Source organism: Homo sapiens, chromosome 16 (genome assembly GCF_000001405.40).
Source record: "Homo sapiens chromosome 16, GRCh38.p14 Primary Assembly".
Taxonomy (NCBI): domain Eukaryota; kingdom Metazoa; phylum Chordata; class Mammalia; order Primates; family Hominidae; genus Homo; species Homo sapiens.
In genome coordinates this window covers 1151240-1178613 of record NC_000016.10, presented here as the reverse complement: position 1 = coordinate 1178613, position 27374 = coordinate 1151240, and the positions used below count along the sequence as shown (strand labels likewise).

The following is a 27374-nucleotide window of genomic DNA, read 5'->3' as shown; positions in this document are numbered from 1 at the left end:
CTCCCACAGCCTGGAGGCTGGAGTCCGAGACCATGCTGTGGGCAGGGCCGGCTCCTCCTGCGGCTGCTGTCCTTGGCCTGTAGACGCCACTGTCACCCCTCTGCATCTGTGTCCTCCTGTGGCCTCACCTAGTCCTAACCCCCTTCGAAAGGGCCCTTATCTCCAAATACAGTCACATTCTGAGGCACTTGGGGGGGTGGGTTAGGACTCTGAGATATGAATATGGGGACTCGGGGGTGGGTTAGGACTCTGAGATATGAATATGGGGGCACCAGAAGAAGCCCGTAAATGAGGCGGCTGGGGAGGCCGTGGGGGAGGGTCCAGAAAGAGGGGGCGGGAGGGACCATGGAGGGATCCAAGGAGCCGGGGCAGGAGAGCCCGTTGGGGGATCCCAGGCAGAGCCGGGAGGGACCATGAGGTGCCCCATGGAGAGGGGGCGGGAGAGTCCATGGGGGGGCGGTTTCCGGGGTGGGGGAGTGACCATGGGGTCCCCAGGGAGAGGGGGCGGGGGAGGCCCCAGGGAGAGGGGGCAGGAGAGTCCATGGGGGGGGGGGTTCCGGGGTGGGGGAGGGACCATGGGGTCCCCAGGGAGAGGGAGTGGGGGAGGCCTCAGGGAGAGGGGGCGGGAGAGACCCCGGGGGTCCCAGGGAGAAAGGGCGGTGCCCGCAGCCCGGGCACCTGCTGGGGACGGAGAGTTTGTGTCCCCATGGAGTTCAGACGCTGAGACCCAGTGGGGCCTTTGGGAGGTGACTGGGATGAGGTGAGGTCAGGAGCGGCGGAGCCCTCAGGAATGGGGTTAATGCCCTTGTAACAAGGACCCCGAGAGACCCCTCCACCTCCCACCAGGTGAGGACACAGGCAGAAGCAGGCGTCTGCACCCAGAAGTGGCCCCCGTGGAGCCCCATCCTGCCCAGCCCTTCCCTGGGACGTCCAGCCTCCAGAACCGAGAAACACACTCCCTCTGTCCCCGGCCACCACGTCCTCAGAATTTCTGTCACAGCCCAAGCACACTAGGACGCCCCCTCCCAAGCCTGTCCTGGGGGGCCCCTTCCCTTCCACCCCAACACCCCATTTCTCACTTGGAGCTCGTTCCACTCTCTGCCCCGGTCAGAATTCAGCCCTCAAACCTATGACAGACGTGTGACCGTGAGCCGCTAGCTGTGCCAGCTTGGGGGACTCCGGGGCGACGGCAGGGTGGGCCTCGGTCAGACGCCGTCCCCGCACCGTACCATGAGGAGGGCCCTCGGCCCTGAACTTCAGGCTGTCTCCGAGGGTGCCGGCGGCTGCAGTGTGTAAATGTCAGAGCCGGGGCTGAGGCCCGGGCAGCAGGGGACCCGGCCCTGGAGGGGATCGGCCCTGGGAGAGGCCTGGGGGACAGCAGCCCCTGGTGGAGTCAAACTCCATCCAGCCTGTGTCACTTAGAAATCCAAGGGTCCGAGAGTCCGAGATGTCCTTTGTAAATGTCAGTGGAATGACAAAAAGGGCCGCCCAGGACAGACACCTGAAGGTGGCAGCCTGTGAAGTCAGTGACCTTTGGGGTTCAGTGTAGGGTTCAGAGAAGGTGCGGAGGGCCTGGGGGAAGCTCCTGGGGGGAGGGAGTGAGGCTGCCCAGGCCTTTTCCAGCGCCTCCTCCCAGCCTGGGGACTCTGCCCCCACCTAAGCCAAACCCAGGCCACCCTGTCCACGGAACATCCTCACAGCAGCCGTAGCAGACACTCAGCCCTCAGAAAGCCACATCATCCTTAGGACCCCCTCCCCGTCCCCTGGGGTGAAGAGACGCGGGGGAAGGGCCGAGGGGAGGCAGGACAGAGGCAGCTCCCCGGCGGGGCGGCCCCGCTCCCCTCCCAGCACCATCATTTTCTGGGCTGATAAACTGAGCTTCATGAGCATCCCCTGTGGGTCACAGAGACTTGGTGCCCAGCCGGCCCCCGGACCCCCATCAGCCCCCTGCTCACTGCTACAGTGGCTGGTCCCGGGGCCTGTGCAGACAAACCCGGAACCCCTTGGTTGGGGGGTCACCTGAGACCCAGATTCCATTCTCGGAATCCCCACAGCAGCCCAGGCCCGTCACCTCTGAGCATGGGGGGAAGTACTGGCCCCAGGCCTCCTCAGCCCGAGCCACAGGTCATTGCCATGCCCACCTGCAGAAAGAGACGGCAGCTGGGGTCCATGCAGAGACCCTGGTGCTGCCGAGAGTAGGAGCGGCCGACCCCACTCTGCGGGGACAGCCCTCCCAGACCCATGCCTGGCTGTCCTCACAGCTGGACCCAAGGATGGGCAGGGGAGCTCCGAGACATTGCTGCTGCGCCTCGCCCCTGCCCTCCCGTGGTGGGTGAGATGCCCCGTCGGGCACTAATTAGAGCTCCAAGCTCAGAACCGACAGTCAGGGCAGCTCCAGCACAAACATCTCTAACCACACAGCATCTGTAACCACACAGCGTTTATGTTTAATGGGTTAGGCTGAAATTCCCAAAGTCTAGAACCCAGCTGAGCCATTATGCAAGCCAATCTGCGATGAGGTGTAAAGATCAGAGCCCGCTAGACACGGTGTGTCCTGTGACTGGGCGATGGGAGTGGGAGGCGCCTCCACGAACGGGGTTGGGACCCAGCAGCCACCAGGATGTCCTGGGAGCATGGCAGCCCCCAGGCCAGGTCCAGACGGAGGAACTGGGGTCAAACTCCAGGCTGTTGCAGAGCCTGCACTGGGGGTCCGGGCAGGAGGAATGGCAGCCCAAGGTCTGCCCGAGACGGGCAGGGGCCACTGGCACACGCCCCTCAACGCACCATCCCAAGCCCAGCCCAACTCGCCCGCGGCCTGCAACGCCCACTGCCCACCTACCTGCCCAGCCTGGGAACACTCCTACGCAGCCCTCAAAACCCACTCCCAGGATCTTCCTCTAGGAAGGAGATCTGGTCTCCTCCTCCTCCCTCCGGCATCTGCGGAGTAACTAGTGTGTGTCAGGGACCGCTTCAGATTCTCGGACATGAGAGTAAATGGACGGGGCCAGCTGTCAGCAGTGGGCACGGCAACAGTGAAGGACAAGCTCGGGACACGGCGAGCAGACGGGGACCTAGAGTGGGTGGTGCTTAGGAGCTGGAGGCTACAGGGTGGAGGGGCAGGGGTGCATCCAGCCCAGGCCAGGGCCCAGCAGGAGCGACGACACAGCAGTGGGGAGTCCTGAGGGCCCCAGACCCTGTCTCCTGTCAACCCCCTCAAAGCCCTGCCCCACAACCAGCCTGTATAATGCAAAACTACCAAAGGGACCTGCGGGGAAGGTGAGTGGCCCTCCCGGGGCTCCCCAGAACCCAGCAGGGGACCCCACATGCAGGAGGGCTTCCCTTGGTAGGCACACCTACACACACAGTAGAGCCTCACACCACATAAGGGCTGTGGACATTAACCTGTGCGCACAGTAGGGCCTCACGTCACGTGGGGCAGTGGGCGTTGGCCCGCGCGCACAGTAGGGCATTACGTGGGGCAGTGGGCGTTGGCCTGCGCGCGCAGTGGGGCCTCACATCACGCGGGCCTGTGGAAGTTGACCTGTGCGTAGAGTAGGACTCCTGATACACGGAGCCACCACCTAGCTGGCCTCACAGTCCATGCAGCCCTGAGACCCACCACGGAGCCATGGCCAGGCCCGGCTGGTGGGGGTGGAGGTGGGGGGTGGGGGGGTGGACGTGGGGGTTGGGGGTGAAGGTGCGGGTGGGGGCCTCCCGCCGGCCCCCTGCCTGCCCACCGCCAGCTGGCTGCAGACCTGGGCCCCGGGGAGCCTCGAGGCCAGGGCCACGCCAACTCGGCCATCCTGGCTCTCGTCCATGTCTGAATCGATCCACCAACGACTCGATCCATTAAGTCAGATCGGAATTCTTGGAAGCCAGCAGGAAAAGGAAGGCTCTGTGAACTGTCTGAGTCATTTTTTTTTAAACTAACATTGGGCGCCTCTCCTCTCCCAGCTGGGGGCTGGACACACGCTGTTCTGCTGTGTTCTGGAAGGTACCTCTGCCCCTGCTTGGGGAGGGGCCCAGACAGCCCTGAGCGTGGCAGGGGCTTCCCTTCGAGAGCTACAGTGACCCCATCCTTCCTTCCCTCCCTCCCTCCCCATGGCCACACCCCAGCTGCCACCCTGCAGAGTCCAGGCTGGGCCAGGTGGGCTGTGCTGACCGCAGCTGTTGAAAGCCTCATGCCAGCACCCCGAGATGGAGCCCCCCATCCTGGCAGCAATGGGCTAAATTCATGCTTGGCTGCTGTGAAACATTAGTTACCTCCATATCCTGGGCTCTGGGGTCTAGCTCCCACCAAGGGTGCGCTCCAGGAGAAATGAGAGAAAGGCAGCTGGCCCGTGGCCATGGGGTGGCCTTGAACCCAGGAGCCCCACAGGAGACTTCAGCCGGGTGCCATGAGAGGGAGGAGCAAACTGAGGCCGCCAGGACCTCTGCCCTTCCTTGGAGACTCTCTGCTTCAGTCCCCTCATCTGAGGGGCCACGGCTCTGTGGTGGGTCTCAGAGCTGCATGGACTGTGAGGCCAGCTAGGTGACAGCTCCCCGTATCAGGAGGCCCACTGTATGCACAGGTCAACTTCCACAGGCCCGCATGATGTGAGGCCCTACTGTGCACGCAGGTCAATGCCCACAGCCCCACGTGACGTGAGGTCCCACTGTGTGCACAGGTTAATGTCCACAACTCCCATGTGGTGTGAGGCCCCACTGTGTGCACAGGTAAATGTCCACAGCCCCACGTGACGTGAGGTCCCACTGTGTGCACAGGTTAATGTCCACAACTCCCATGTGGTGTGAGGCCCCACTGTGTGCACAGGTCAACACCCACAGCCTTTCAGGAGTAGGGGAATTCTCCCGGGGTGAGCCTGCTGGTTTAGACCAGTGGTTCTCAGCACGGCGGCCGGGGAGCCCCACCCTCCTTCCCTCACCCCTCCGACGGGCGTTCCCGGATGCTTCCACCAGGCCAGGCAGAGGGTCTTGCAAAACTGCAAAACACAGCCCCTCTTCTCACTGAGTTTTTAACGTTTTGAGAAATATAACCTTTTCCATAAAAGGACGTGTTATGTTAACACACAAAGGGCTTATTATTGTGGTTAAGTTAGTAAACAATTTTTTAAAATTTTTCATGTTAAATACTAAAAAAGTAAATAGCGAGAGAGAGAACCCAGGAGCAGAGGCTTTGGGCTTCGTCCGTCCGCACCAGCGTGAAGGGGCCCGAGGCCTGGAGGCGCAGCCGCTGTTCTGGAGGTTGTGGGGGAGCACGCCTCATCCCACACTCCGGAAGGGCATCCCACTACCCCAGGGCTCTGGCCACCTTTTGCCTGCTGGGCCTCCCGATGCCACCCACCCAAACCCCTGCAAAGCTCCGCACCCCTTTCCTCCCTGCCTGGCCACCAGCACCCCATCTACTGCCCCCTTCCAGCCTCGGCCTTTTGGACACCTCCACCTCGCGCCCGTCAGCTGCTTAAACACGCTAGGACCTCCAACTTGCCCCACACCTCGACACCCCAATATCCACAAGGACACTTGGGCTTCCCAGCTCCCCAGGCCCATGGCCACACAGAGGGCTCTCCACGCCACACCCAGGGCAGGTCTGCGGCCCTGGGACTCTGGCCCCACCCCTCCCCTCCCTCCCAGGCAGCACCCACCTGCAGGGACCTGGTGTCCCTGGGGCCAGCTGCCGAGGACCAACAAGGCTTAGGGCCAGTGACTGCGAGAGTCCCCACGGGGCTGTCCTGGCCCTGATCACAGCCCCTGCCCCGCCTCGGAGGAGCAAAGCCGTGAGTCCTCCCAGCCCACAGCCCTGGGCCTGGACAGGAGCCCTCGGGGGCACCCAGGCAGCAGCAGCCCACTCCGCCCCTGGGTGCCCCGGGGAGAAGGGTGCCCCAGCTCACCCCATGCACCTCCCTGCCCCACACCCATGCGGGTGGCTCTGCCCCTGTGGCTACAGGAAGCCGGTTATGGGAAAGCGGCTGCTTTAATAATAAATCGTTTAATTACAGAAGCCGGGAGCTCCTGCTAGGATCCAGCGGTGTGGAGTGCAGACTACCCACTGCTCCCACGCCTCGGGGTTCCCTCCACAGAGCGGGTGATGCTCGGGACAACACACAGGTACTTACGTGTCCTGCTGGGGACCCCACGACCACCCCAGACGGAGGCGGGCCAGGCCCAGGGCAGGGTGAGGGCAGCCGCGCTGCCACCGTCTAAGAGGGGAGGACGCCTGGGGGCAGCCTAGGGACGGCGTGAGAGGGGCCCAGGTAGAGCCTGGAACATTGGGGATGGCACGGCCTGGCTCCCCGAGCTCCTTTCTACTCAACAGGCAAGGCTGCGGTGATGCACTGTGGGGGGAGCCCCAGCCCCAACTCCCTGCCAAGCTCCAGGGGCGGGGTCAGGCAGGAAAGGCAGACTCGCCCTGGGCCAGCCGGATCGAGGCACGCAGCCACTCTCGCCCCTGACACCCACCGTGTGCGGCCCACGCCCTGCGGCCCGGGGCCCCGTCCACCCCAGCATCATCCCGGTGACGTCTGACACCTGCAGGCTGGCTTCAGAGTTCAGTGAAGGCTGCTGGGGACCCCAGGACCTTGAGCCGACCCACTCGGACTCCACAGCACCTGGCGGGGGGCCCACGCGAACCCCATGCCGCACTTGGACCCCAGCGTCCGTCCTGGCGCCCGCCTGGCCTGTGAACATGCCCCCACCCGTGGACACTGCTCCCTGGCCTTGGGCTCTGCCCTGACCCTCTCGTCTGTGGGCGAGAAGAGCCCAGAACAGACGCCTCAGACCCAGCTGGCGCTCGGAGACGGAGCCGAGTTGGGGGTAGTGTCTGCCCAGCCTGAGAGGGTGGCAAAGTTGTGGACGGTGGGAGGCTGCCCAGAGCTCCAGGGACTCCAGGAGGGAGGGAGGGTGGTGGTCTCTGTGGGCCGAGGCACGGCCCAGGAGGCGGGAAGGACGGAGGCAGCCCCCAGGCGGCCTTGGCAAACTGGAAATGAGGGAACCCCACAGCTCCGAGGGACAAAAGCCGCCTGAGGCGCCTCTGGTTTTCTGCGGCAGCCAAGGGAGTTTAATGCCTGGAAAATAAAACCCACCCTGACCCCCATCTCCATTCGACCTTTGTTTCCAGAAGCTTCCCGCGGGCCTCCTCCGGGCTCCAGGCTCTGCAGACTCTGTGGTCAGAGCCCAGGGCCAAAAAGTGGGCTGCGGGGGTTCTCTGCCCGGGAACCCAGTGACTTTCTAAGGAAAGCCTGTCCCCAGGGCCACTGGCCCATCTGGGCCTCGTCCTCTTACCCCCCTGGGCTGCTGACAGCCCCAAAGCCCCACGATCCCCCCAGACGCCCAGCCCGCCCAGGAGGGCCCCACAGAGCAGGCTGCCCGAGAGACCTCCCCACGAGGAGGTGATCCTGGGCGGCGCGGGGGTGAGCAGACAGCTGGGCAGGGCAGGGACTTCCAGGGCTCCCCAGAGAGCACCCCAGGGGTGCGGGTGGGAAGGCACTAGGGGAGGGGAGGGGCTCAGCAGGGACAAAGGCCTGGCCGTGGAGTGGGACAGGGAGCCAAGGGTGTGCAGGAAGAGGGAGGGACGGGCTATGGGTGCAGTGGTTGGGGGGAGAGCTAGAGAGAGGATCTGCCCTGTCCTGACACCTGGCTGTACCTGTCCCCCTGGGGAGCAGAAGGCCCCCAGACCAGGCACCCCAACCCTCCACACGGGAACCACTGAGCCAAGCAGACAATGCGGGGTTGGCGCCTTGAACCCTGACCCACAGGACCGGGGCCAGCACCCAAAACAAAAAGAAAACCTGCACAGCCCACAGGAAAGAAGGGGTGCAGTGGGGAGCTGCCCCATCATGCCCTGGTCTCCTGGCCTCTTCCTCCTGCACACGGCGGTGGGGGGGCCCAACCCAGCCCAGCTTCCCTCACCCCGAAATCCCTGTCCAGATCGTGGGGGCACGAGGAGGGCCCCACAAACTCGGTCGGCATGACAATCAGGATGCCGACCAGGCTCCACAGATCACTCATGCAGGGGAGACAGACATTCCCTGATTAAAGTTGGAAAACCCCAAAATCCCAAGGCTGACGGCCACTGGGCTTGTGGGGGTCCGCAGGCCGGTGTCGGGGTACGTCTTTCACTGTTCACGGTCCATCTCCTCCCGTCCACCCGCTCCCCTCCCCTGCCTCTGTCTCTCTCCCAGTCTCTTTTACGGGAAACCATGCTGACAGCTGCTTCTGCCCAGTGTTACCCCGGATTCCTCGGGCCCTGTCCCGCTGGCTCCGTCCCAGGGAGCCCTGCTGCCCCATAGCCATGGTGCGACCTCAGCTCCCCAACCCAGGGAAAGGCCCGAAGGCGTGGGGAGGGGCCCGCCCCTCACAAAGAAGGCTCTGCACTGAGTGGGAACAGGGTGGGCTGAGCCTCGGTAACCCTGCAGTTGGGACACACCCGGGTGGGCTGGGGTCAGGGTGCAGAGGTCAGGCCCCTCCCCTGGCACACCTGCAGGCAGACCCTGCACCCCCCAGCTGCTGGGAGCTCGCTGTAAGCCGGGAGGCCGCCCTGGAGAGGCGAGCGGGGGAGGGGGGCTCAGCCCACACTGTCTCTTCCCACCGGGACTTGAGCCCTGCACATAAACAGTCTAAATTAGGAATTAAAACATCCTTGATCCCGACCCGTGGGCAGGCCATATTTCAAACGCTCAGAAAAACACCCCAGCCGCCCAGCTCCAAACCCGAGCTTCCCAGCGTGACTGCAGTGCTGGGCGGTCGCACACGCCCATGTCCGGCCTCACGGGGAAGCCGGTCCTGGGCTCTAGATGGGCCCTGCTCACCCTGGGGCCAGGGGCCAGGGACCAGGCCTGGGAGGCAGACGGACAAACGTTCCTGGGAACAAGCACCAGCCGGCTGGCCTGAAGCTCCCACAGCCACAGTGGTGTCAGCTGCCCCCAGCGGCCTGTGGCCGACCCAGACAAGTGGGCTGGGGCCTCCCTGATCTCCGAGGGAAGCACCGGGAGCCCGGGAGCCGGCTGATGGGCGGAGGCGAAAGCACGGCCCGCACAGCTCTGAAGTGTCTCTCGGTGGGAGAGGCTGGAGCTTGGGGTCGCTGCCCACGGGGAACCCGAGACACGCGCTGTGCCCGCCAAGCCCTGCTGCTGCTTCTTGGGGGAACGTCGCGGGGGCCGCGGGCATGCTGGCGAGGACCAAGGCGAATGCCCCTGCCACCCTCTCGGGGCCCAACCCACCAGCCCAGTCCACGACACCTGTGTCAGAGGGTGGGAGGGCAGGTCGGGGGTTCTGCCAGCCCATGCATCATCTGATGCCAGCCCTTCACCAAGTGCTGTTTGGGGCAGATTCGGCCACCAGCGACGGTGCCGCCCACAGTGAACATAGCGGCAAAGGAAGCCCGTCCACGTCCACGTCCACGTTCCAGGCTAAGACCCCCAGCAAGCCCCACCCCCACCCCCACCCCCACCCCGCCGCAGGAAGACTGGCCGCTGCCAGGCAGGCTCTGGGATGCACACCCAGCGTTCTGGTATCTGGAACAGTCCAGAACCTTTCCTCCCTCCATCTCCTGTTGCCAAGGCTGCATGCTTATGGAGCACCCGAGCCCACGCACTCGTAACCCTGGCAGAGAACGCCCTGGCATCACCCTAAGACTCCACTGTGGGCAGACTCACCCCAGGCGGGCAGGGGGCGGCCCCAGCCCACCTCCTAGAGGCTCACAGGCCAGGGTACTTCAGAGCGGGGCACCCCCTGCGGCCCCTAAAGTGGGGAGCGGGCTGAGGAGGAGGGAGTACCCGATGCAGACAGCCTCACCCCTCCTCGGGCCTCAGGCTCCAGGAGAGGCCTGGAGGGCAAGGCTGGGGGGCGCCATGATCCCCCTAGGACAAGGCACCCAGAGTGGGGCATGGTGCCCTGGGACTCTGGAAGGGTCTGGAGGGCAATGAGTGGGGCCCAGCAGGCTCCTGACACAGGGCCAACTCGGCCGAGCACGATGCATGAGGGGCTCGGGGGACACTGAGGACCACCAGACACACTGGATCATCAACCTCCCCACCACGACCCCACCTGTCACCACCTCCAGGGAGCCCTCCCTGCCTCCAGGGTGCATCTCCCCAGCTCTGGGGTGACCTGGGCACCCGGCAGGGAAGCTGGAGGGTCCCCCAGAGCAGCCCAAGCAGGAGCCACAATCACAAGTCCAGCAGCCTCCCCGCCTGCCCAGGAGCCTCCCCACATCGTTGGCCCCATCCTAGAACCACGCCCCGGGGTGGGTGGTCGGACTGCATGGACTCTACCAGCTTCAGACCTTCCTGCTTTGGGAACTGCAGGCCTCAGGCCCTAGGAGGGAGGAGATGGGGGTTGCTGGATGGCCAGCGTCCAAACAGACTGGACATGGTGGGCTCATCGGGGTGAGCTGGGCAGAAACTGTCACTTGGGGGGGGGGATCCCACATCAACCGCCCCAACTGGAGGGGGCGGGGGCACCAGAGGCCGCCCTGGTCTCCCGCCACCGTGCCCCAGGGGAATTCTGGTCCACCTCTCGGGGTACAGGCACCCCTTCCGAAAACATCTCTGGCCTAGGCACAGCGGCTCCTTACAAAATGTCCCCCAACTCGAAGGCCTAGGGCAGACAGAGGTGCGGTCACCAGGCCTTGGGGACAAGCGGCCGCCTCCAGGCAGCCCCGGGGAACAGGCCTGGCTCCTGAGGCCCCACGTGCTCCACGCACTGGTGGGGCGAGTGCTTACTGAGCACCTGCTGCCATGGGCAGCCCGGGCCCCGCGGACGGACGGCCAGGCCACGCCCCAACCTCGCAGGTGCACTTTCTAAGCACACACCAGCGCCACAGCTCCAGGTGTCCCGTTTCCCGTGTCTGGGTGTGTCCCTGAAGGAGGGGTGGGCTCCTTTCAGGAAGCAAAGGAGGGGTCTCGGGGTCCCTAGCCAGGAGCCGGCTTGCATGGGCCAAACCGCTTTATGTAACACAGGCCGGGCCGGTCAACCAGGAGCAGCTGGGGATTAGTGACAGGCGTTGCCACGGCAACCCCATTAGTGGCACCGCCGCGGTGAGGAGTGTGGCTCCAGCCTTCCTCGACTTGGCAAAGGTAACAGGAAACCCCAGAGATTCATTAGCAACAGGTTCCCATGGCAACCGCACCAAGCTCATTAATAATTTTTTTTTTTATTCCAAGTGTGGGTGTTGAAATTCTCCAGAGGACGGATGGAGGGATGGATGCCGTGCAAACACACACGCCAGATTCTCCCACCCGCGGCCCGGGCGCCACCCCGCCCGCTCCGCGCCGATATCGCCCCCGCACCCGTGTGTCAGGAATCCAAGGTTCCTGACATTCGCGGGCGGCCGGCAAGCCCCACCCACCGGGACGGGCTGCTGACAGGAGGCCCATACCCCACAGGCCCCCCGCAAAGAGCCCGTTTCATCCCCACGGGGCAGGTCAGGGGCTGCCATTTCCCGATGGGAGACGCCCCAAAGGGTCGGCGAGGAAAGGAAGGGCCGTGTCCACTCCCACAGCCCTGGACTCCGGCTGGGTGTGGTTGTCAGCACTCACTGCTGCTGAACCACCACTCAGGGACCCAAAAGCTGGGGGCGAGAGGTGGGTCAACAGGTGGGCACCGCTTTGGAAAACAGCCTGGCCATTCCTCCGAGGACTCAACACTGTTTCCGCCTGACCCAGCAATTTTGCTCCCAGATTTACGTCCAAGAGACACGAAGCCAGGGTTTCCCCCGAACCTGGAGCAGGGACGGCCCGGCAGCGCCATGAACAGCAGCAAAGGGTGAAACGGCCCAGACATCCACCAGCGGTGAAGAGATAAACACCGCAGCCCGTCTACATGAGGGCGCATCTAACCGTGGAAGGGTCAGGGCTCTGCGGGGAGGATGGACGACCGGCCCGCACAAAGCTCGAGAGAAGCCGGTGCAGGAGTCCACACCACGTGGGATCCCATATACAGGGAACGTCCAGAACAGGCCAACCTCGGAGACGGAAAAGGCCAGCGGGAGACGCCGAGACAGCTGACTGCAGGGTTTCCTCTCGGGGCGAGGAAAGCATTCTGGAACCCATCGCTGCTGGGGCTGCACCACCGCGAGGATACAGGGAGAACGACCGAATTGGACCCTTCATTGGCGAGTTAGGTGGTGGATAAATTACCTCTCAATAAAACTGGGAAAAGACCAACAACAGGAATGAGTTGGTGCCGGGCTGGCCAGAGGGCCTTGTACGCTGCGCGGCCTCCTCTGCAGGGCTGAGAGGAAGGCAGGGGCCGGGATTCAGGGCACCGTTACTTGGCCTGGAGCCACGGAGCTGAGCAGGGTCTGAGCCACAGGGAGCTCCTGTCTCCCGCTCCCCACGCAGACAAATGGAGCAGCCAGTGAAGACCCCACTCCGGACGCAAAGGATTTGCTCGTGGACACTCTGCCTGCCCCCAGGGGCAAGAGGCACCCTCACCCCAACACCCACTGTCCTCTCAGGCCTGCCTGCCCCTTCCCCAGGCCTCACCATCCTCTGAGTCTGAGTGAGAAAACACAAACAAGAAATCTCGGCGTCAGCTCTCAGAGTCACCCAATTCCAAGTCACAAATGGGAATGTGTCCCCCTACGGTGCCAACAGGACGAGGAGGACCGAGAAGGGACCTCAGCCCAGAAAGAGCCACCACAATTAAAAGATGCACGGGCCGGTGTGCCCACCACTCTTGCCCCACACGGCCGGGCCGGGCCCCACACACCACCCAAGCAGGGGCCAGAGGACCCACCCCTCTCCCAAGGGGAGCAGAGGAACCAGCTCCCAGCCCCAAACCTCCTGGGGAGAAAGGAAACCATGGGCTGATGGGTTCATCTGGTGGGGAACGTGAGGTGGCCAGCACAACTCAGGAGAGCCGGGAGCCACCCGCACTGTGAGCCGGGGTGGGGGCAGGGAGGCAGCCCCTCTACATCCTCAGGAGGGGTGACCCCAGCGTGCAGCCACCTGGCAATGGCCTCGGGGGGACGCAGCTGTGCCTGGCGGGGAAAAGGGAGGGTGCCTCAGCTCCGGGCCGGCTTGTGCTGCCTGAATTCCCATGCCCAGATGCACCGGAGGCCAGGTGGGGAGGGGGGCCCAGGCGCCTCTCTCTCCACCTGGAGCTCCCCGGCTGTGAGTGCGCAGGACGGGGGCTCGGCCCACGCGGCTCCCTGAGACCATAGGCCTCATCCTCCTTATTTGAGTGACCCAGATTTCCACGGAAGGTTAGAAAATAAAAACTCTGTGCTGTCACGAAAGAGCGTGGCCCGGGAGGACCAGCAGGCTCAGCTTTCAAACACACCAACTGGGGTCTGGGTCTGCCGATTCTGAGCCTTTGCCCCCAGGCCCGCTGAAGCCATTCCTGTGACGCTACATCTGGCTTCTAGAATGTTCCTCCAATGGGGCCTGTGCCTCGTGTGCTCTCTGCTCTTCCCCCCGTCTCCCCAGCAATCGCGCCACGGTGGTCAGCTGGTGCCTGCCGCACCCCCACCCACTCCCGGGCCCAGACATGCCAGCACCTTCTCCGCTCCTCCTGCCCCATCAGCCCCCTCCTTGCCCCGGTCAGGTGAGCGCCACTGTTCCCACCCCTGCACAGGTGTCCTTCACGCCCCAGAACCCCACGGAGACAAATCACCCTGAGGTCAGCCCATGCTGGACCGAGGGGCCCCACCTGCTGCACCCAAGGAGAAAACACACATCTGCCAAGCCAGGGACCAGCAAAAGGGGCGACTCGACCCACCCCCAAAAACCCAAACGGGGCCACGGGCTCACCCACACCTCCTCCAGACCCCAGGGCTGTGGACAGCCGCCCTCCACCCCAAGCAGCATATCCGGAGCCCGGCCAGTGAGGGCAGCACCACCAGACCCCAGCTCCACCGACAGAACCCCAGGAGGCCCCTCTGCGGGGCTTGAGGGCCAAGATCTCACAGAAGGGAGATCCGAAGGGTCTCCGACGGAAAGGCCTCACTCCCAGGTTTTAACTGTGCCCCATTCTGTGCAGCAGTGAGCCTGGTGTAGCCACGCTCGGCACCGCCCGGGGTCCAAATCGCCCCTGTGCCCACGCTGCAGGCCACTGCCCACCTGATGGCCACTTAGCAGCCATCTCAGTTATCAGGCTGAGAGAACAGAGTATGAGGCCCGGCGTGGTGGCTCACACCTGTAATCCTGGCACCTGGGGAGGCTGAGGCAGGAGGGTCACCTGAACCAGGAGATCGAGGTGGCAGTGAGGGGTGACTGCACCACTGCACTCAGCCTGGGCGACAGGGTGAGACCTTGTCTCAAAAAAGAAAAGAAAAAACAGTACGTACAGGACAGGGTTCATCAGATCTGAGGCTTCGGGTATTCCTGGGGCCTTGGACTGCACCCCTGCAACTGACGACACTGCCGCCCGTCTCAAACATGCATGGACACCCCTCACCCTAAGACATTCTTACTTAACTGAAATCCAAACATAACTGAACGGGCATCCTGGGTTTTCTGTGTCAGGGACTCAGGCCCAGGGCCCTTGCTTCTGTGGCTTCTGGGAGAGGCAAAAGTGCCCCCACACCTGTGCCGGCCTCCATACCCGGCCGGCGGCCAGGCAGTCTCACACCCCAGCAGCACCAACAGGCCGCACCCATCGGCTGCTCCTCGGCTGGGGCAGGGGCGGCTGAGCCAGACACGGCCTCTCCCCTCTTCACTAACCAAGAAGCTGAGCCGCTGAGTCACAAGCGGGAGGGTCCCCAGACCTGGCCTTCGAGGTGGCCGCCACATAGCCCAGCTTCTCATCACAACGACCAGGCTTCCCAGGGAGAGGAGGTGGCATCCCGGGGCCTCTCACCCTGGCACCCAAGTGTGAGGTCAGCACTGGCACAAGAGCCCGTGGCCCAGTGGGCTTGGGCAAGCGTGGTCCCAGCTACCAGCCAAGGCAGTACCCTAAGCCATCCTCAGACACAGCGGCCAGCTTCCCCCAGCAGCCCGGGACAAGTTCCCATCCATTTCAATGAGGCGCTAATGCAGGCTGACTCATCAGACCACAGCCAGGGCTGGCGGCTGCCCGCAAAGACCAGGGCAGGGACCGTGTGTGTGGCCCTGAGAGAGACCCTCGCCCCTCCACACCTTCCCGGCAGGTCGTGGCTGCTCTCTGGCCATCTGGACACGGGTTTCCCCTCTGAGGCAGGCCGGGCTGTGTGTGGCTGCGGCTTCAGAGGGGGCTGGGCACAGGCCGGCAGCTCACTGGACACTCCCAGGCCAGACCAGCACCCCCTCCCGGGAGCACGAGGTGCCATGGGGAGACTCGTAGCTCCACACCGTACCCCGGCGCCGGCCTCCCAGGCCCTGCTCCAACTGGGCCCCACTCAACGCCCGACACCCACCTGGCCCTGCTGGGCCGAGGCCACCCCCACTGCCCTGCAGACGGGCACCAGGGCACAGTCTCAAGCCTCAAGGTCCATGGCCGAGCTGGGGGAGGTGGCTGTCGCCTCTCCGGACCCAGGATCGGCTCCCCAGGGCAGACTGGCCCACACCTACACCTTTCTGCAGGCTGCCTCACCTGCCCAGAACAGAGAGGCTGGGTGACGAGTGAGGGACACACAGCAAACACAGAGTCAGACGAGCCCAAGGTCCAGGCAGGCAGAGCACCGGCCACTGTGCCCCCACAGCCTTTGAGGCTGGAGCCAAGGATAGCTCCGCGTGGCCGCAGGGCCAGGCACCCGTGGAGTGGCCGTGAGAAGAGGCGTTCCAGGGACCTGGGGCCACTGACCTCTGCTCGCCCACCTGACCACAGCTGTTTCCAGCCACCTGGGACTATCCCACCCCCTGCTCATACTCCCTCGGCCTTCACGCCACAGCCCTGGCGGATGGTCCCCCAGCTTGGACACTGTCCTCCCAGCGTCAGTGGGGCCCGGGTCTCATCCATCTTGTTCCCTGCTCACCAGAGCCAAGTGCGGCCCCCAGACCCCTTCACAGGGTCCCAAGACGCTCGGCTCCTCCTAGGATGGACCCCCCCCCCCCACTCCAGGTGTCCGCAGGAGCTGGCCGTGCGGGGCAGCTTCTAACCAGGGCACAGAGACACAACTGCAGCACCAGCCCCCGTGCCAACCGAGGCTCCGAATGACCCACTTCACGGCTAAGCGTCCTCTCTCTCTGGGGGCTGCTCCTCATCGGAGGAGCCTGACAACAGTGGGCGACCAATCGCGATTCATCCTGAAAGGGGCTGACTCCTGTTACTGCGTCAAGCACCTCCTGCTCATGGGCCATTTTTCTCCCTCCGGGGGGGCCCACAGGTGAGGTGGGGAAAGGGCCAAGCAGGTGCTGGGGGCCTCCCCCAGGCACCTGCACCCCTGCTCGCAGCTGTGAGGGCAGGTGGGGGCACCCTGGCAGGAGGCAGCTGTAACAGAGTGCCACAGGTAGGGGCCTCAGACAGCAATGGCCTCTTGGGGCTCTGGAGGCCAGAGGCCCAGGGCGAGGGGTCATGGGGCTGACAGGATCCCATGTCCTGCATCACCCATGGGACTGAGTGGGGACGAGGAGTCCCCGCCACACACCCAGAGGCCAGGAGGGCAGCAGGCCCATTTCACAGATGAGAAAACCAACGCCCAGGAGGTGACACGACCCCGACAGGGTCCGGAGCAGGGACCTCAGTGCCCACCTCTGCCAGTCCACTTCAGACTTCACGGGACACAGCCTGACCCACCGTGATGGCTCTGCTGCCTTCTAGAAAGATCTGCCCCGAGCCTTGCCTGCAGCTCCATTAACGCGTCCGACCAGGCCCACCCCACGGACCCACCCCACAGGCAGGCTGCGGCAAGGGGACCCAGGAGGTCCGGGTGCTGCTCACAGATGGGGACAGGGCTGGCGTGGGGCCTGGCCAGCGGTCTGTCCCCCATCAGCCGCCGCACTGGCCACCCACCGACTGGACGGGGCTGACAGCCTATCTCCCGGGACCGCATCTGGCCCCTTCTCTCACCCGCCTGCTGGGAGCCTCACTCCATCAGTGACCGAGATGACAGACCAAAGTGGTGTGACAGGGAAACTGAGGCCCACGTGGAGGCACTGCCCAGGCTGGCAGGGGTCGCTAGCCCCCCTCCTGTGGCCATGGAGACCCCAGAATCCCAGGAGGCTCCACCCAGTTGAGGCTGAGTCTTTAACATCTGGGGCTACTAAAGACCACCTTGCCCAAAAAAAGGCCTCAAGGTATCCCCACCTCAGTCCTCAGGCCAGTGAGGGGCCCAGAGACAACCACCTCCGGCCAGGGGGCTCTGCCCAGGTGCAGACAGCTGGGGAGGGGAGAAGGGGTGAGAACACAGGGCGGCCTGGCGGTCAACAGAGGCGAGGGCTTGCCCCCACCTCTGCCACCGGCTCAGTTGACAGCGTTCATTAATGCCAACATCCCGTGTCACCTAACGGTCCATCCACAAAGGAACAGCTTCGCTCCCATCAGTCGCCAACGGCAGAAGCACCCACACCACCAGCAGCCCAGGGTCAGACGAGTCCAGCAGGGCCAGCAGACGCTGAGGTCTCGCTCAAGGCCTTTTCTGCAGGAGCCAGTTCTGCAGACATCAAAGCAGGGCTGGGGGTGCAACTGTGTCAGGTCTACACACCTTGGGGGTCAGAGGAGCCTCTTCACCCCGAGGCAGCGTGGGGGCCTCCGGATCCTCTCCCTGCCAGCCCTGCTCTCAACTTGGGCAAAGAGCCCAGGGCTGCACCGAGGCTGGGGGGGGGCCGCACTGGGCTGATGCCTCGGTCCTCGCCGGCCGCGCACCCGAGGATGGGGTGCTCTGGCGTCCCGGGTTGACGCTGCACGGGGCCTCCAAACGCAGGCGGCGGCCACACCCACCCAAGGATCTCTCTGCCCACAGCTCCCGCTCCCGGCAAGCGACCGGGCGGCAGCAAGAGGACAAAGGAGGCCTCGTGGAGCACATTCATCAACCGTCCGGCTCATCAAACCCGGGGGCTCTCACGGCCCCGCCAACGGCCCGCTTCTCCCGTCAGCCCGGGCCCACCTCCGCCCCGCGAGGAGTGTGCACGGAGGCCAGGGACACCAGCGGCCACGTGGCGGCACACCCCCTGCACCACGGCAAGCTGCTACTCCGTCCCCATCTGTCATCCTCGGCGGGCACAGTGCTCTGGGGACGGTGCCCAGACCTGCTGCCAGCTCTCCTGAGCCGGGCAGGGGCTGAGAGCCAGCAGAGCTCCTTCCCCGAGCCCCGCCCCCACCATCTCTGACCGAGGCGGCCGTCCATCACTGCTCAGGGCGCGACCGGCTGACTTCACCCCTTGTATCTGCCCAGGGTGAGTGGTCGCTCCTTAATCTCCACCCTGGAAATTCAACCTGGGCCCGCGTGACTTAGAGTTGTTCCAAGTTACGCCAACATGAGCCACTGAGGAGAGACTCCTCTTCCGTGCCAGGGAGGGGAATGCCCACTGACGAGGACAGGCAGGGACAGTCCCCGCCCTTCCCACAGCGGGCTCGGCACAGGCGGCTGGACGGACGGCCTGGCCGACATCTGCATAAACAAAGGTAACGCGTTCCTCGCCTGACCTTGACTGTGCGACCGTGGCTTGGACTCAGCCAGCAGAGCTGCTGTGGATCCATCCCCGGAGTGTTTGACAGGCTGGCCCCTCCCCCGCATTCCTCCTGTCCTGACCCCGGAACGGGACGTCTCTTCTGCAGCTCCAGGAGCCCGGCCTGGTGGGGCCGCATCGCCCTCGGCTCTCAGCCCTTGGGGGAGGTGAGGGGAGTATGCAGAACCACCCCTGAGCGTTCCACCAGGCCAGGGAGGGTGCCCGCAGCTGGCCCCGGCAAGAATGAAGTTCGGGTGCTTGGAGCGTGTTGCCCACGAGTCCAAGAGCTTCCTTCAGGGGCTGGCAGCAGCCACGCCCTCTGGGCCTGAGTGTGTGGGACACCAGTGCTCCCCACTCCCAGCCTCTGTCCCTGTGCGGCCCTCACCTGCCCTTCCAGCCCCGTCTCTCTCATCGACTTCCTGCTAAGCCCGGCCCCCAGGCCTCCCCTCCCTAAGGAGCAGTTGTGACGCCAGTTGGAGGCAAGCTGAGCCCTGGGCCCCCAGGCCAGCCCACCACCTGCTGTCCCCACCCGCACTCTGCCTCCTCACAGCCCTCAAGCTCCCGAGGGCAGGCTCGGGAACTGGGTCATCACACCGGTGTGCCACCGCCACGCGCCCAGACCTCCTCCCCACGGCCCACCCTGCCCCTCACCCTCCCTCTCATCTGCTATACAGACATCCCCCCACCTCAAGGCCTGCACTGTCCCCCTGCCTGGACGTTCTTCCCTCGGCACACCCCATCCAGGTCTCAGTCCGAACGCCTCCTCCCGCACAGGCTCCTGTGCCCACCGGGCTCATGGACTCTGCCCCTGTCGGGCCCACCCCACCGTCCGAGGGGCCCCGACCATGCCTCGGTCACAGGGCTCAGGCCAGCCTCGTTCTACCCCGGGATACGGACACCCGGGCACTCTGCGGGGAACTGGCCATGAAGACGTCTGCCAAGGCGTTCAGAGGCTCTCCCCACTCTGCACGGCTCCCCAAGTCCCCCCATCAGGGCCTGAAGGCTGTGCTCAGGGACTCCCTCCACCCTGAAGTGCCTCAGGCAGGCGAACAGGGGCCCTGAGGTCAGTCAGTGCCAAGGACGATCCCAGCGATGAAGGATCCGGGCGACAGACGGACGGTGAAACCCGAGACCCCTGCCCGGTCCCAGCGGTGCGGGCTGAGCGGGGGGGCTCTGCGGGGCCAGGGGTGCGGGCTGAGCGGGGGCCCTGCGGGGCCAGGGGTGCGGGCTGAGCGGGGCCCTGTGGGGCCGGGGGTGCGGGCTGAGTGGCGCCCTGCGGGGCCGGGGGTGCGGCGGGGCAGGAGCGGTTGTGGAACTAGAGCTCTCTCGGCAAACTCGTTCCCAAGAGCACCAAGGTCACATGCCCGGCAGCCCCGGCCGCAGAAGCGGGTCTGGGAGGCGCACGGTCCCTGCCAGGGCCCGGCCTGCTCTGGGCTCCATCTCCTCCCTCCTCCCCAGCGGGGCCTGAGTCCCGAGTCCATCGGGGTAGCCCCGACCCGGAGGGTGAGCTCAGCCTGCTGGCGTCACGCCCACTTCCTGGCGGGAACAAGATGACGTCCCACGGGGCGTGCGGCCCTGATGCTTCCATGAAGGGGAGGGAATGACTACGACAGGCGCTCGGCAGACCCCTACCCTGCCATCATCCCCGGGGGCCTCTCTTCCCATCACCCCGGGAAGGATGAGCTGCCCCCAGGCGCTCGGCGGACCCCCTACCCTGTCGTCACCCCCGGGGGCCTCTCTTCCCATCGCCCCAGGAAGGATGAGCTGCCCCCACGGCTCCCCCAGCTCTTGGTGAGTGGGAAGGCCCCTCCCCCTGAGCCCTGCAACGCTCCCAGTCTCAGCCCCATCTGTGTCTCTGCTTCCTTGCAGGATCAGCTGTGGGGGTGGGGAGGCAGCCTCTCCCACCCTGTACTAGCCCAGGAGGCAGGGACACATCCAGCCCTCTCGTGGGTAGGCCGTAGGGCTCAGTGGGAACCCACACCTGTCCCAGGAACACTGCAATGCCAGTCGGTGGCTTCAGAGACTAATGGATCCATCCCTGCAACTCTCCTTCCCGTCAGAATGCGGGCAAGGGCGCCACGGGCAAGGGTGCCACGGGCAAGGGCGCCACGGGCAAGGCACGGGCAGCCCAGGGTCTCCGGGAGACACGCGCCCTAGCACGGCCGAGAGAAGCCGGGCCGTGGGTCGGGCGCAACGGCCGAGTTCACACCCTGGTCCACCCAGGCAGAAGGGACGGGACGTCCAGTCTGTAACGGAGACTCTGCCAAGCCCCACCCTGCTGAGTGACCCCCAGCTTGGAGTTCAGGCCCAGGGGTCAAGGGACAGCTTTGGGCCCTCCTGGGCCTGTGACTTCCGACCACTGAGGCAGCCCCTCTGAGACCAGTTCGGATGTCCGGACGCTGCTAAGACAAAGTGTTCAAGAGGGTCCCCACGATGCAAGGTCAGTAGGGGACGACCAGCCCCGTCCTGCCCACGAGAGGCCTGCGGGGCACGTGGAGCCCGGGGAGGCGGGCGCAGGCGGGACTGGCCCTTTCCAGACGGGTGCCCTCTCACACTCCCGGGGGACGCCCGCGGAGCAGCGTGACAGCCCCAGCGCCGAGTGTTCAGAGATGCCATGAAGGGCTGTCTCAGGCTCCCGCAGCTCGTCCCCACCCAGGCAGCGCTCTGCCAAACACGTGGCCCTCAGAGCCAGGATGGGCTCACCCAGCTCTGTCCTTCAGCATCCCGATGACCTTGATATATCCTTCCCCATCTCAGAGCTCCGTGACACGGGGTGTTTGGAGCCTGGGCCCCGGGAGACGCCTCCCAGGGGGTCCTGCCAACCCCCAGCCCCCAAGCACCCCTTGGTCACCTTCTGGTCCCTACACACCCACAGCCCGCCTCCCTCGCTCTCGCAGGGACCGAAGCAGGGTCCCCCTTCCTGGCCTCCAAGCATTCCCGGGGGCCCCGCCCCGTCCGTGTGCCGGGACGGCGGCAGCTGTGTCGCAGGCGAACGCGGAGTCAGGAACCCCGGGAGTCCGGGCAGCACATAACCCAGCCGGGCGACAACACACAGATCCCACCCACCTTTCTCTATAAATAAACCTGTGGAGGAGAAGCAGCGCTCGCCCCAAAAGTTCTAAGACAATTATATTTTTAAGAAACCAATCAATAAGGATAAGGGCGTCCTTGGAGGCTCCTTTGCCTGGGATGGAGTCACCCTGGAGATGGAGCCAGCACGCATGTGCTCCCTGGTGCTGAGCGTCTACCCCGGGGTTCAGGAGAGGTTCAGGGATAAACGCGGGCCCTCCCCCAGGTTCCTGTGCTGACTGAACCCCGGCTCAGGCTGGGCCCGGCGGACAGCAGCTGGGGCTCTGCCAACCCCCGGGAGCATGGAGTCACTTTACTGAGTGTGGGTTCCCTGAGCAAATCCGATTATCCCTCCCTCTCAGAGTTCACCCTCTTCAGGAGGGATGCGGGGCCCTGCGGAGGGAGGGGAGGCTGAGGCCCAGGAAGCACCCTCTTGCTACGGGACACACCCCAGCCACACCAGTCGCCCACCGCCCCTGCCGCCTCCTGCAAAGCCTCCCCCTCCCAACTCCCAGGAATCTGAAGCGCTCTGGAAAGCCTCAGCCATGGCCCACATGGGCTTCCCCGGCTCAGCCAATCCCCCCACCTGTCCAGGCCTGCCAGCTTATTTTAGGTTCTCTCTGACGCCAGGACACACACCCTCGCTACAGGCCAGGCATCTGCTGGTGGTCACACCCACCCCCATGCAGCCGGGGCCTCCACAAGCCCACTCCACCTGACCGACGGGCGTTTCCACGGGGCCAAGAATGAACCAAGCTTGGGGTCTAAGCTCTGCTTCCCATGTCTCCTGGAGTGGGGACACCCCCCATCACTGCGTTTGGAGCTGGGAGAGCCAAAGCGTGCCAGAGGTGCTGGCGGCGAGGAGGGTGGGGGGTCCTGCCGTGCCGCAGGCAGACCCAGTGCTCCAAGCAAGGGATGCCATCGAAGGGCAGGAGGCCGACCACCCATTCTCTCCCAGCCCAGAGAGCCCTGGGGACACCAGGGATGGGGCATGCTCTGTTCTTCCCAGGCTGAGAGCACCATCCAGCCCCCGAGACCAGGACAGCACCCAAGTCCCTCTCGGGCTACCAGAGCATACTCCTGTCAGGTCACAAAGCCCAAAAGGACAGCTCCTCAGGACACCGGGGGACAGCGCTTGGGTCACGTGATGCCGCTGGCCCCAGCCCTCCTCTCCCCCTGGAGAGCTCATCCCACCTGCATGAGGCCACCCAGCCAACACCTTCCCTGCACACAGCAACGCAAACAACCTCCTTGGAAGTCCTGAGACACACAGCCAGCCCAGAACACCGGGGCCAGGCTCCAAAACTCTCTCAGCCGAGAGGGGACAGGACAGCCAGGCCCGGGGCTGTGAAGAGAGTCCATGCCCTGCTTGGGGATGGGGCAGCCAGGCCCGGGGCTGTGAGGAGAGAGTCCAGGCTTGCTCAACTCTTTCCCTTCTCCGGTCTGCACACGTTGGGAAACAAGGAACGCAGGCCTTGGCTCGGGGCCAGCCTCCCATTCCAACCCATGCAGTCCCTTCCAGACCCTTCCCCATGGCCTGCTGGCACCGCCGGACTAACCCCACACCCAGTCACCTCCTACCAGAACAAAGGGGCATGACCACCTCCCGCCTTGGTTCTAGAGAGGAGACAAACCTACAACCGCTCTTCAAGGCCGGGCCTGCACCTCGGCTCCCGGGGACACCCACCTACTCGCAGACACCACCCTGAGGCTACAGAGGCCTAGGCCGCCCGGGCAGCGGGTGTGGGGCTCCGAGGCAGCCCTCTGGCCGGGGCCGGCTGCCCCCGGGACCACAGCAGCCTCCTCTTCCTCTACAAGCAGAGATGAGTCTGACTCACTCGATGTTTGGATTTGAGAAAGGAGAAACACGGGCTTTATGACTTTTTTTGTACAGATTCCTCTTTCGTGTTTAATATTTGTACAGTTAAACACACAAGGTAGGGAAGTGTACACAGGCCGCTCCTGCTGCCAGCCTGTCTCCCCACCTCCGACGGGGGACGTCTGCGGGCAGGGTCTCTCCACCCGTCCCCAGGCCCGGAGCAGAAGCCACGGCCTGGCCACCCCAGCTGCCGGCTCAGAAGGGCCGGTGGGGAGACCCGGCCCTGACACAGGCACCACGCAAGGCCCTTCTCAGGGCACGCGGAGACCCGCCCCCAAGGCCACCTGCTGGGGGGCCCCCTGGACCTCCGTGTACATCCCACAAATGCCCCTGGCCCTGACCCAACTCTGTTCTGGAACCTTCTCTGCAGTCTGTGCCGCTCTGGCCGAGAGTAGAAGAGGCTGCCTCTTCCTCTCCAGCCAGGGAAGGGGCTGGGGAGATGAGACTCCCCCTTGGCAGTGCCAATTGCCTCCCTGCCCCCTACCCTTCAGCTGCGCATGACTTAAGTCAGCCCCGCCACCGAGTTCAGCCAGAAAAAGCGAGTTCACAACCAACGTCACCGCCTCTCTCCACGGAAAAGGCCCTGGCGGCGCTCACAGGCCCCACGGGTCTCCCCACGCACTCGGAACCACCAGGCGCCGGCTGAAAACTTTGCGCCCCTGACTCCAGCTCCTCTGGCCTCCCCCTCCCCCGCGAGGGGCCTGCCTCGGGCAGGACCTTCAGACAGTGAGGGGTGGGCAAGGGGGAAATTCCCGTCCTGGCCAACACCCTTGGGGCCGCGAGGAGTTAGGACCTTCCCTCCCTCCCCGACTCCTCTCCCCTCCAAGCCCGCGGGGGCCTCACCGCTTCGCTTCCACCTTCTCCGTCCGGAGCCGGCCCTGGGGAAGGGAGTCCGGAGGCGCCCGGTGGCCCCCCAAGCCCGCCACTCTCAGAAATTAGAGCGCGGTCCTCCAGCCCCTGCCCTGCACCCCCGCGCGCCCGGCCCACGCCAGGTCCCACCAACAGGGGCGCGCGGGGGCGCATGCCGAGGGAGTCCCGCGCCCCGGGCCCCCACCCTCCCCACGCCCCCCGCCCCCCGCCCCCCGCCGGCCGGGAAGGATATGGGTTGCAGACCAGCCGGAGGCACCAGCTGCGCGGCCGCGTGGTCTGACCGAGGCAGAAGAAGACCGTGGCCGCCAAGGCCGGGTACGGGACGCGCTGCTCCTCGTCGGCACCCAGCTCCGCGCCGCGCTCGGCCGCCGGGCTCTCGGAGGGTGACACGCCGAGCTCGGACCCCCGCTCCGCCTCGCGTCCCGGCGCCCCGGGGCTCTCCGGGGACGCCCCCACCAACGCCGCAGGGCCAGGGGGCGGCGCGCCCAGGGGCACCCGGACCTCGTCGGCGGCCCGTGCGCCCTCGGTCATGGTGGCGGCCGGCAGCACCTGCAGAGGACAGGGGGTGACCCGGGGCCGGTGGCGACGCCCCCGCCCTGCCTCCCGCGGCGCGGAGCTGCGGGAACAGCCGCGGCCGCCGGGATGTCTTTGTCTTTTCTTATTAGAGACAAACGCGCCCCCCGCCCCCGCCCGCCCCCTCCCTCCCTCCAGCGGCCCCACCCCCACCCCGAGGGGCTCCCCGGCCCGCTTCGCGCAAGTTGAAGAGGGTCCCGGGCGCGCGTCCTCGCCGCGTCTCACCTCGCTCTGCTGGCCGGCGGCGTCCCCGCGGGCATCGCCCGGGCGGCGCGGTCACCGCGGACCCCGCTCGGCGCCCGGCCCCGGCCCCGGCCCCCAGCGCCTCCGCCCCCGGCCCCGGCCCCGGCCCCCAGCGCCTCCGCCCCCGGCCCGCGTCCCCAGCCCGCCCGGCTCCCGGCCGCGGCTCGACTCCGGCTCCGGCTCGCCCGGCGGAGGCGACGGCGGCGGCCTCGGCGCGGCGTGGAGGCCGCTGAGCGGACGGGTGAGGCCGGGGCGCGGGGCGCGGGGCGCGGGGCGCGGGCCGGGGACCGGTGAGGCAGCGAGCGAGCCTCGAGCCCGTCCGCGCGCGGCGCAGGAAACTTCGGGCTGAGCGGCGGGGGGCGGGGCGGGGCGGGGCCGGCGCGACCGGGGCGGGGCCAGCGTGGCCGGGGCGGGGCCGGGGGCGGGGCGGGCGGGGGGGTACTGGGGAGGATCCGCCCCCGGCCCGAGACGCGCGCGCCCGAGCGACCCCTCCCTGTCGCCGCCCGGCGCCCCGCCCCCCCCCGGGTGCGGGAAGTTGGACCCCGCCCGCGCCCCCTCCACGCCCCCGCACTGGGCTCCCCGCTTTTCGTGCTCCCCAACAATGCCGGGCGTGGGGTGCACCAGGGGGCGCTCGCGGGAGGCTCCGGCGGGGTGGGAGGGGGAGCACCTACGTCCTTCCCTGCCCCCAACTGCGGGGGCGGCCGAGCCGCCGATGCCGCGCCCCTCCCCCTCCCGCTCCGGCTCCCCCTCCCCCTTCGCGCTGCCGCGCGCGCCGCCGCCGCCCCCACCCCCACCCCCACTACGACGCGGGCCCGGGTCGGCGGAGGGGCGGGGACCGGGCGGGCGTGGAAGGCGAGAGGCTGCGTGCCCCTTCCCCGCCGCGTGTGTGTCCCGGGTGTGCCCGCGCGCGCGTGTGTGATGGGGCGCGGGGGCGGGCGGGGGTGTGCTTTACGGCTGGGCGCTCCTGCACTCGCATCTCTCCCCGACACGCACGGGCAGTTTCCGCGAACTTGTCCTCGTCTCCGGTCCCCTCCCGCGTGGGGATCTGGGGGACCCTGGGGACGGCAGCCTGGTGCTCCTGCATCCTCCAACCCCGCTGCCTCAGCGAGACTCACCCAGGGGCCCCCGAGGAGAAGTGCAGGCCCCTTCCCCCTGCCAGCAGCTGCTCCTTCAGCCAGGCCAGCAGAAGGGCCTTCCCCTGGACCCTCAGAGCAAGTGGTTTGGTCGGGAAGGGGTGGACCCTTCAGACATTGGGGATGGCCAGGCCCTTGTCCCAGGGAGGGCTGGCCGCACCTCGAGGTGCCAGCAGGTGGGGGCAGGTGCCCAGGCTCCTGACTCCCCCCAGGGCACCCCTCCAGGCTGGAAGGGTGGTTTTGCTTCTGGGACCACTGCTTTGTGCACCAGGGAGCTTGAGCTCCCAGGTGTGCACCTCAGCACGCCCGCCAACAAGGGGCCCCTGGTAGTGGGAGAGACCCCTTCTCCCTCCAGACAAAGAGGCCCTGCTCCAGGGCGCACCCTGAGACCCCAGACCCGGAGAGGCTGTGGGGCGGCTGTGGCTTCCCACCTGCGGGTGAGCAGCAGAGAAGCAGGACCTCCCCCGGGTGGGCCACATCGTGCAGGGTGAAGAAGAGGCCCTGCCCAGCTGGGGCCCGGAAGGACACACAGCACCTGGGGTGGGCCGAGGAACTGGAAGGCAGGAGTGTGGGGGCCTGGCTGGGGTACAGGTCCTTTCAGCAGCACCTCCTCCTGTATACGGGAACTTTCAAGAAAAGGAAAACATTCAGTCTATTTTAATGCAACTACTCAGCGATGGAGGGCCACAGCTGGTGAATTAGGCCTTCAAAGGTCCAATTAAGGTTCCAGCCACAGAGGAGCAGGACCTAGGAGAGCCCCGTGCTTTGGACACATCCGTGGAGGGAGGCTGGAGCAGGTGGGGAGACACAAACGCTGAATCGGAGTCCGGTCCAGAGGGCACTTGGAACCTCTGATCTTTTTATCAACACCCTGCTCGTTAAAAGTTAGGGTGGGCCAGGTGCAGTGGCTCACGCCTGTAATCCCAGCACTTTGGGAGGCCGAGGTGTGTGGATCACTTGAGGTCAGGAGTTCGAGACCAGCCTGACCAACATGGTGAAATCCCGTCTCTACTAAAATACAAAAATTAGCCAGGCATGGTGACATATGCCTGTAATCCCCGCTACTCGGGATGCTGAGGG

The 27374-nt window shown here is 65.7% G+C and overlaps 1 protein-coding gene and 1 long non-coding RNA gene across 15 annotated transcripts in view, besides 5 other annotated features; one reads left to right on the top strand and one right to left on the bottom strand.

The window, feature by feature from the left end:
- CACNA1H (calcium voltage-gated channel subunit alpha1 H) overlaps positions 1-25508 on the bottom strand; it is a 68663-nt gene extending 43155 nt beyond the window's left edge. For all 14 annotated transcript variants that reach the window (XR_002957850.2, XM_047434836.1, XM_006720963.4 and 11 more), the window contains exons 1-2: positions 25144-25508; positions 24578-24894 (exon numbers count right to left, since the gene is read on the bottom strand). Coding sequence is in view for 13 of the 14 variants with exons in the window: in XM_047434836.1 (XP_047290792.1) it covers positions 24578-24876 (299 nt within the window). In the remaining variant the exon portion in view is untranslated. The remainder of the gene's footprint in view (positions 1-24577; positions 24895-25143) is intronic.
- Positions 5326-5827: an enhancer, noted in NCBI's record as "H3K4me1 hESC enhancer chr16:1222787-1223288 (GRCh37/hg19 assembly coordinates)". NCBI's record gives its function as "activates a minimal SCP1, AML or CMV promoter by ChIP-STARR-seq in naive H9 embryonic stem cells {active_cell/tissue: H9 hESC(naive)}" and the evidence as "EXISTENCE:reporter gene assay evidence [ECO:0000049][PMID:30033119]".
- Positions 14700-15256: an enhancer, noted in NCBI's record as "H3K4me1 hESC enhancer chr16:1213358-1213914 (GRCh37/hg19 assembly coordinates)". NCBI's record gives its function as "activates a minimal SCP1, AML or CMV promoter by ChIP-STARR-seq in naive H9 embryonic stem cells {active_cell/tissue: H9 hESC(naive)}" and the evidence as "EXISTENCE:reporter gene assay evidence [ECO:0000049][PMID:30033119]".
- Positions 19184-19903: an enhancer, noted in NCBI's record as "H3K27ac-H3K4me1 hESC enhancer chr16:1208711-1209430 (GRCh37/hg19 assembly coordinates)". NCBI's record gives its function as "activates a minimal SCP1, AML or CMV promoter by ChIP-STARR-seq in primed H9 embryonic stem cells {active_cell/tissue: H9 hESC(primed)}" and the evidence as "EXISTENCE:reporter gene assay evidence [ECO:0000049][PMID:30033119]".
- On the top strand, positions 20004-21642 carry LOC124903622 (uncharacterized). Its single transcript, XR_007064937.1, has 2 exons — positions 20004-20967; positions 21425-21642. It is a non-coding gene; the product is annotated as an uncharacterized LOC124903622 (long non-coding RNA).
- Positions 23887-24654: an enhancer, noted in NCBI's record as "H3K27ac-H3K4me1 hESC enhancer chr16:1203960-1204727 (GRCh37/hg19 assembly coordinates)". NCBI's record gives its function as "activates a minimal SCP1, AML or CMV promoter by ChIP-STARR-seq in naive H9 embryonic stem cells {active_cell/tissue: H9 hESC(naive)}" and the evidence as "EXISTENCE:reporter gene assay evidence [ECO:0000049][PMID:30033119]".
- Positions 26029-26609: an enhancer, noted in NCBI's record as "H3K27ac-H3K4me1 hESC enhancer chr16:1202005-1202585 (GRCh37/hg19 assembly coordinates)". NCBI's record gives its function as "activates a minimal SCP1, AML or CMV promoter by ChIP-STARR-seq in primed H9 embryonic stem cells {active_cell/tissue: H9 hESC(primed)}" and the evidence as "EXISTENCE:reporter gene assay evidence [ECO:0000049][PMID:30033119]".